The sequence below is a fragment of the Homo sapiens genome, chromosome 20 (assembly GCF_000001405.40).
Source record: "Homo sapiens chromosome 20, GRCh38.p14 Primary Assembly".
NCBI lineage: Eukaryota > Metazoa > Chordata > Mammalia > Primates > Hominidae > Homo > Homo sapiens.
In genome coordinates this window covers 16,975,263-16,984,164 of record NC_000020.11, presented here as the reverse complement: position 1 = coordinate 16,984,164, position 8,902 = coordinate 16,975,263, and the positions used below count along the sequence as shown (strand labels likewise).

At 42.6% G+C, this 8,902-nt stretch overlaps 1 pseudogene, besides 1 other annotated feature; it reads left to right on the top strand.

The window, feature by feature from the left end:
- Positions 1-1,131: 1,131 nt before the first annotated feature.
- Positions 1,132-1,334, top strand: LOC124904984 (uncharacterized; annotated as a pseudogene).
- Positions 7,789-8,315: an enhancer, noted in NCBI's record as "H3K27ac-H3K4me1 hESC enhancer chr20:16956495-16957021 (GRCh37/hg19 assembly coordinates)". NCBI's record gives its function as "activates a minimal SCP1, AML or CMV promoter by ChIP-STARR-seq in naive H9 embryonic stem cells {active_cell/tissue: H9 hESC(naive)}" and the evidence as "EXISTENCE:reporter gene assay evidence [ECO:0000049][PMID:30033119]".

Here is an 8,902-nt window from a genome sequence, read left to right as displayed (position 1 = left end):
ATAAAATGGGGTATGCCTGTAGATAAAGAGAGAGAGAGAGAAAGAGAAGAGAGAGAGAGATCAACACATACATATATGATGTAGTGATAAGCGCTCTCTAGGAGGATTGTCCCACGGACACTAAACAGCAAATGCTAAAATCTTATATTTTAAGACTATTTCCCAAAGTTATTGACAAATTTTCTTTTTGGTGGGAATGCTTGGTAAGTTTTAGACCTATAACGTTAATTGAACTAATTGAATATTAATATCAGTGTTTAATTTCATTCAAAACATTTTAACTTCTACTCAGTTCTCCAGGGTCTTCTGATCTAGTTGGAGACAGAGATAGACATGCATGGAAGAACAAAGAAGCATAGGCCATTTTGGAGTGCAATCGACTGCATTCCTCCCAAGAAATACATTCTGAGTTTCTATAGAGCAGATGCCTGAGTTCACAATAATAGATGAATAAGATATTAATTAATAGACACCTATATTTCTCATACTTATTTTCATACAAGATGATTCAGGTAAGGAATCAAAGGGGAGATAAAGAAATAAAGTGGAGGAAGGCAAAGAGAAATCTGACTAGTTTACAATCTTGTCTACAGCAGCAGAGATGTTGTGAAAAAAAAGATGTTACAACCACTAAGTTTGGAAAATGTAGCATTGAGAGACTTGCACCATACATCAGCAAAATAAAGGTTCTGAGAAGTCCTGCAGATTAAATAAACAGAACTGTTTCCTCATGTGAAGTCTATTTACATTCTCACAGAATGTAAATTTGACTGGGGCCAGTCAGATTAAAAAAACTTTTATTAAGGCAGCGTCCCCAACCTTTTTGGTACCAGGGACCAGTTTCGTGGAAGACAATTTTTCCACGGAGTGGGGGTGGGGGAAAGGTTTTGGGATGAAACTGTTCCACCTCGGGTCATCAGGCATTAGATTTTCATAAGAATCAGGCAACCTAGATCCCTCGCATGTGCAGTTCACAATAGGGTTCCTGCTTCTATGAAAATCTAATGCCCAGCTGATCTGACAGGAAGTGGAGCTGAGGCGGTAATGCTGGCTTGCCCCCTGTTTCTGTGGGGCTTACTGTGTGGACTGTTTCCTCGGGTTGGGGACCCCTGCATTAAGAAATGTAAAATGAAGATTATATTTTCAGGGATCATTTCTATAGTTTGTCACTAGGGAAGTTCCTCTGAATGTGTAGAGCACCAGAAACATGAGGAAGAGGCACAGGGTTCTCTCCTGAGTGTGAAGCTGGCTCTTGGCGCTGCTTTCCTGCAACTGCTATTTGCCATTCGTGATTGTGGAGAGTCAGAGGGAGAGGATGATGCAGTCTGAGTGGTTTCCGCTATAGAAAGAAACAGAGAAAGGCAGGAAGGGAGGGAGGAAGAAGGGAGGGAGGGAAGGAAGGAAGGAGGGAGGGAGGGAAGGAAGGAAGCAGGGAGTAAGGGAAGGAAGGAGGGAAGGAGGAAAGAAAGGAGGGAGGAAGGAAAGGAAGAAGGGAGGAAAGAAAGGAAGAAGGGAGGTAGGGAAGTAAGAAGTGGGGAGGGAGGAAGAAGGGAGGAAGGAAGGGAGGAAGGAAGGAAAAGGGGGGGCAAGGAAGGAAGGAAGGAAAGAAGGAAGGGAGGGAGGGAGGAGGGAAAGAAGAAAAGAAGGGAGGAAGGAAGGAAGAGAGGGAGGGAGGGAGTAGGGAAAGAAGGAGGGAAGGAAGGGAGGGAGGAAGGGAGAAAAGCAGGAGGGAAGGGAGGGAGGAGGGAAGGAATGAAGGAAGAGAGGGAGGAAGGAAGGAAGGAGAGAAGGAGGGAAGGAGGGAGGGAGAGAGGGAGAGAGGGGAAACAAAAGAAAAGAAAAGAAAAAAGAGAGGGACGTAAGGATTGAATTTTCTCCTAACATCAACCATGTCTCTGAGCTCTAGATCAGGAGAATCCAGATCTCTTCACTGTGTTTGTGTAAATTCGCCACCTGGTACCTCCCAATTTTCAGGGCAAATGTCCTCCGCCCATGATAAATGGTAATCAATACATCAAGAAACGTTCTGAGTAAGTTAATTATGACACCTTTTTCACAAACTCAGGTTAGTTTCCAACTTATTGTCAACTTAAATAGGTTTCAGTAGGAAAGCTATTAACTTCTGTTGACTGAGAAGAAATAGAATTATTATCTTGTTTATCAAAAGAGCCAATTTGTCTGTCTCCCTAAATGTATTTATTAAAGTAAAAAGGTTGCTTTTTATTGCTGTCATTGGAAGATTGTGGCTTATTATCATTCCAGTTGTTTTTTCGGATACAAAAGAGTTCAGAATACTGTTGCTATCTACACCTTCCTTGAGTGTTCTGAGGGAATGTTTGTGGGCACTATCTGTAAGAGTGTTTACAATCTGAAGCTGGTCACCAATGCTGAGCAGAGAAGCTCTGCTGAGGATGTGGATAGATTAAACTATCTATTGGAGAGTATCTTAGACTGAGTCTTGAGGAGCTAATCCTGAACAGGAATTCATCAGGAATTTATTAAGGAAGTGCCCCAGGAGATACCAGTGAGGGAATGGAGAAGCAAGACAAGAGAAGGGGAAGTCATTTAGCAAGGGTACAATTCTAGGGAGGATCCCAGCCTCTGCTCATCCTGCAGGAGAGCTCTAGAGCATAAATTACATCTCAGAGTTTGTACTGACAGGAGGCAAGGGAGCTAGGCTCTCATATCTCCATACTCATCAACTTTGGCTAAGGGCCATCCCAAAGGGTCTCAAACCCAGAGCACTTCAAAATCCACACATGTGGGCAAATTGGCTCCAGTAGCACAATGACAGGCCTCCAAAAATAGACACTCCTTGACAGTGTCAAGGTAAAGGACATTAAAAGCAAAATCAAACAGAAGCAAAAGTAGCAGTAAAGGAATGGTAAAGAGGATTAACAAGATGTAGGCGTGGCACCTAGAGTGTCTATAGAAAGTTGTGTAGAGCCCCATGTAACCCCTACCAAGTCAACTACCATTGCATCTAGGCCATGAGCATGTAGCTCAGTCTCTCTCCACTTTCACTTCCAATAATATCTATCCCTTTCCTATGCAAATGGGTTCAATATAACCAAATGTAACTTTTCTTCCTCATAAAGGAGCAAATGCTTTTAGTATAGTTGCATTGCTTTTACAGTTTCTTCTCTTTGAGTCTGGATATAATAGCTTCTTTGCAACAATCCACTCCTACATCTTATTTTTATCATATGATTATGTGTTTGCATTGTGCAGAGATTGGGATGGACTTTTATGGAGAGGCCAGTTCACAGCACTGAACACAGAGGTGCAAAACTAGCTGCCTGAGTGCCAATGGACTCTGTGCCACTTGCTTGCACCCAAGTGGATTTCTACAGGGATGAGTATTTCACTTTCCTCCAGTAGAAGTGCCATCTGTTAGTACTCCAAAAAGTAGCATTGATATATGATTCATTAGCTTATGTATATTCTAATACAATTTGAGTGGTAAGATCACTTTCTTCAGACCTTTGTGGATCTTGTGACTCATTTTGGAATATTTTCCCCTTATTTCCATTTTATTATTTGACTCCAGAATCAAAATTAAAATCTGCAATGAATATTTTATGGCCCACACTGTCTCTTGGTTCTCTTATGCATAATACAAAGTATTTGCAATTAAATGAAGGCAAATGAAATATTTGAGAAAGTAATACTATTGAAAACTAAAGAAGCTTGAAAAGGTTGAATTTCCAGTCCAGGACTTTTTATTCACATATAACTCATACTTTCCTTTAGAACCAGGAATAGTATTTACTTCACTGGCTCTCATCCTGTCTAATATAGCAAGCCCTGCATAGAACAAGCCCCATACATATTTCTGGATGTGCCCCATGCTTGCTCGCAAACAAATATTGTTAGAAGTTGAGCGGCTACCTCCATGTCCTTTTTCTTTCACTCCAAGCCTCCTCAGAGTAATTTCAAGTTTGAGGAGGCTCGAGAAAGATGTTGGTCTCATCTCTGGGATCCCCTTCATATACACTCCTGTTGTATATACTGTTGTGTCTTGGCTAATGTTCAGGAATCCTCCCCAAAACCAAACTCAGGAGGCAGTGAGATAGTACCAGATACTCTGGGAGCCCTCAAGTAATATTAAATATTGGAGCTTTAGTATTCATCCCAGTTATGAAACTTTAGTATTCATCCCAGAAGTTATGAAACTTCTCTTTCCCAGGATAAAAACAGAGGCAAGAATCTGAATGTAAACCAGAAAAGATTTCATGAAAGCGAAGAGACTTAGTGAAGATTTCACTAGGGAAGTAGGGAGTAAGTCTTCACTAAGTCCCAATACTTTTAGGGTTACTTTGGAGCCTTGATGGAGGAGACAAAGGAAGCAAAAGAACATACTGGAAAGTGCTACAGGGCACAAATAGGCCTCACAAAGAGAATCCCACTATGTATGCGCTTTCTGAGTAAATGCGTTAATGGAAATAAGAAAGTCTTCTTTGGCATATAGTATTGACACAGTTTTGGGGAAAAACAGCTATTGCAGTTTAGACTCAAGTGTCAAGTGCCACAAAAACTATAGATGCATCCCTTTGTGCAAAAATATATTGAAAATACCCCTTTCAATCAGCTTCTTCCCACCCAATGTGTGTTTCTCCAGCTCCCACACTGGCTTGGAGAATGTCAAAAGAAATTTATTTCAAACTGTCTGTCACAGTAATAAAATACTTTTGTTGCTGCTGGCTGTGTCATAATAAACTATAGTTATACAGGGTAAAAGGAGGCAGAAAACTTACTGAGGGATCATAAGATTGAACCAGCCAGGTGTGGTGGCTCACACCTGTAATCCCAGCACTTTGGGAGGCTGAGGCAGGTGGATCATGAGGTCAGGAGTTCAAGACCAGCCTGACCAACATGGTGAAACCCATCTCTACTAAAAATACAAAAATTAGCCAGGCATGGTGGTGAGTGTCTGTAATCCCACCTACTCAGAAGGCTGAGGCAGGAGAATCACTTGAACCTTGAACCTGGGAGGTGGAGGTTGCAGTGAGCCGAGATCGTGCCACTGCACTCCAGCCTGGGCGACAGAGTGAGACTCCATCTCAAAAAAAAAAAAAAAAAAATTGATGGAACCATTTGCTTCCATATTCAGTTAATGGCAAAGACAGAGTCTGACTCCTAGCAGGATAGAAAGAGAGATGAAGTCAAGAGAAGAAAAATGTTGAAAAGCCTTAGAATTCTTGAGTCAGGAAGAAAATCTTGGCAATCAGTCAGTAAGATAGTGTCAGAAAGTCTGAGACTACCATCAACACAGAGGAAATGAGGTAGGAAACTAGATTAGTCAATGCCATAGCAGAAGTATCTCATGAATTTGACCATATTAGAAGTAGTAACAGCACTACCTAACATACCTCCTCAAAGCTCTGTCACTTAAAATAATAAGCATATGTTTAGTCCTTGAATCTGAGAGTTGAGAATTTGTGCTGGGCTCAGCTGGGTTGTTCTTCTGCTCTCAGCTTGGCTCTAAACATGTGTGGGGGATGGCTTGCTGTGTAGAGGATGGCTTGCTGTTAGCTCATCAAAACTAGGTGACCTGGGTATGTTCCACATTTGCCATTCTCCAGCAAACTAATCCAGCTGTCTATGGCAATGATAGAGCTACAAGAGAGAACAAGACCATTTCATGCCTCTGCTTGCATCGTGTATGCCAACATCCTGTTGGGCAAACCAAGTTACATGGCTGAGCCTAGAGTCAAGGGGCAGAGCAGGTTTCCCACAATGGGAAATTATATTACAAAGTCATATGGCAAAGGAATGGGAACAAGGAGAGAAAAGTACTGGGTTATCTTTGTACTCTAGCCCATTAGTCATTCTGGGCTTATATTGATTTGTCATTTCTGTGTTATCAGAACTTCATGAGCAAAACCATTATCAGGTACAGTTAATGCTTAGAATAAAGCTGAGAAACCTATTGTATGAAAGGCATTTTTAACCAGCAGTGTACAGGAGAATAATAATTAAAATGATGATAAATTCAAAACATGAATTCACCTCAATCTGTTTTCTTGGGGGTACCCTTAAATAAAGCATTTCATGTTTGTTATTTAAAAATTTCATATGTGCCATGAGTCTCACAGCAATATTTAGGAATTATCCTCACAACAGCATGGAGAGCACAGTGGTATGATTATTTCAGTTTATTGTGGAGGTGGTTGAGATGGCAGATGTGTACCAACAATACCAAACTAAGTAACTAAAATATGGACAGTTTCAAGGGTCCCCTGAGTGTTCAGTTTATACAAGCAAATATATTTCTGGCTGAACTGACTGATTATTGGACTGAAGTAAATAAATTAAACAGATGTTTTAGCAACATGCTTTCACAGCTTCGAAGCATAGTAAGAATTTTTAAAACAATTATTTATTTGCTTCAGATTGCAACAGACAAGTCAGTATTACAACTCATGATGTATAGGTTGTAGATGAGGTGAATCACTCTATGACCTAAAATATATAACTCCAGTGAGCTTGGGTTATTATACTGTTTTATACTGGGTTCCTCCAAAAGCAGTCCTGAGACAATAATTTCAGGAAATGTAATCCAATAGTACAAGCACAAAATGCAGCTACTGTCCAGGCTGAGGGAGAGAGGTAGCTAGAGAATGAACCAAGAATAAGCAGAGGGATCCCTGTGTCCCCAAGGCAAAGATTGAGGTGAGGCCACTTATAATACTGTAATTTTCAGTTATATATACATATACATGTACACACATATATACATACATATATGTGTTAGTCCACCTTTCCTGGTGTAGAGCTACCAAAACGCTTGGAATCTCTAGTGATAAGAGTGTCTTTTATATGATAATGAAAAGACTGGTGGCTGGGGACCCCGAGATAGCTTTAGGATGGGGGCTGTTCACCAGAAAGACCTAGGCCAAATTAGAGGGTTGAGACTTCTGGGAGGGGAGGTGAAGTTTGGGTTTATCACCAATGGCCATTAAGTTAATCAGTCATGCATAGATAATGAAGCTTTCATAAAAACCCAAAAGGACTGATGTTGGGGAACTTCTGGATAGCCGAGCACATGGAGATTCTTGGACAGTGGTGTGCCCAGGGAGGGCAGGGAAGCTCTGTGCCTCTTCCCACATAACCTCACCCTATATATCTCTTCCTTCTGGCTGTTCATCTGTATTGTTTATTATACCCTTTATTAATAAATGGGTAAACTTAAGTAAAATGTTTCCCTGAGTTCAGTAAGTCACTATAGCAAATTAATCAAGCCTGAGCAGGGGGTTGTGGAAACCAAGTCACAACCAGTCCGCCAGAAGTTTAGGTGACAACCTATTACTTGCTATTATTAATACTTACTGTGAGACACCTGCTCTGCCTCTTGACTCTGGGCTCAGCCATGTGACTTGGTTTGCCCAATAGGATGTTGACATACACGATGCAAGCAGAAGACTGAAATGGGCTTGTATATTGGAGCTTGCTCTTTCTTGCAGCTCCATCATTGCCATGGACATCTGGGTTAGTTGGCTGAAGGATGGAAGATGTGGAGCATAGCCAGGTCACCCAGTTTTGATCAGCTAACAGCAAGCCATCCCCCACACAGCAAGCCATCCCCCACATGTGTTTAGGAATTATCTTCACAACAATCATATGAAAAAACAGCTCAACATCACTGATCATTAGGGTAATGCAAATCAAAACCACAATGAGATCTCATCTCACATCAGTCAGAATGGTTATTGCTAAAAAGTAAAAAAAAAAAAAACAGATGCTAGTGAGTGAGTTTATGGAGGAAAAGGAACATTTATACACTGTTGATAGGAGTGTAAATTAGTTCACCCATTTGTGAAAGACTGTGGTGATCCCTCAAAGATCTGAGGACAGAAATACCATTTAACCCAGCAATTCCATTACTGGGTATACACCCAAAGGAATATAAAGCATTCTATTATAAAGACACACACACACATATGTTCATTGCAGCACTATTCACAATAGCAAAGGTATGGAATCAACCTAAATGCCCATCAATAATAGACTGGATAAAGAAAATGTGGTACATATATGTTACGGGATCCTTGAGGTGTCACTTTTCTGGCTGGAAGCCTCTGTGGCCGGTGGTTCCTTTGCCTGAGTTTTGCTCGAGCCCACCTGGCCTGGAAGGCTGTGCTTGGCTCATGCTACTGGCCTAGATCCCATGCCTGCCAAGGGCCTGGATCCACACCTGCCAAGGGTGAGTCAGGTGAGGAGCGGTGAGCGGTGTGTTAGCAAGTGTGGGGTCCGGCCACTGCACACAGTCAGACATGCTGGCTGCTGCAGTGGGTCAGGCAGCTCCAGGTGCTGGCACAGGCCCCAGCTCTCTGCGAGGCTGCGGCTGGACCAGGCACACTGCAAGCAGCTTTCACGGCTGGCACCGGGGAATGTGTGGCACACGGAAGCTTGGAGACGCCAGGAACCATAGGGCCCCAAAGAGGGAGTCACAGCCCTGGCTCAGGGAGTTCGCAGGTCCAGGTTCCCCAAAGGGCCGCAGAGCTTCTCTCCTTCTCTTTACCTGCAATGTAGTGAGCAACGAGCACGACTCAGCCCTGTTCGTGTTACACCTCTTTCAGCCTCGCCATTCAGTGGGTCCGGAGTTCTTGCCCTGCAACCAGGCAGAATGAGGTATGCATACAAGTGATGGGTGAGCAAGATGAAGAGGAGCTTTGTTTAGCAATAGAACAACTCAGAGGAGACCCGCAGGGTGCAGCTCCTTTCTGCAGCCAGGGTGTCCCATCAAATGTTCAGCTCCTAGTAGAGAGGGTAGTTCCTCTCTGCAGGCAGCTTGTCCCAACAAGTGTTTAGCACCTAGCAGAGAGGGTAGCTCCTGCTCTGCGGCTAGTCATTCCATCATCTGCTCAGCTCTGGCTGAGCCCTGGGCTTTTTATGGGGA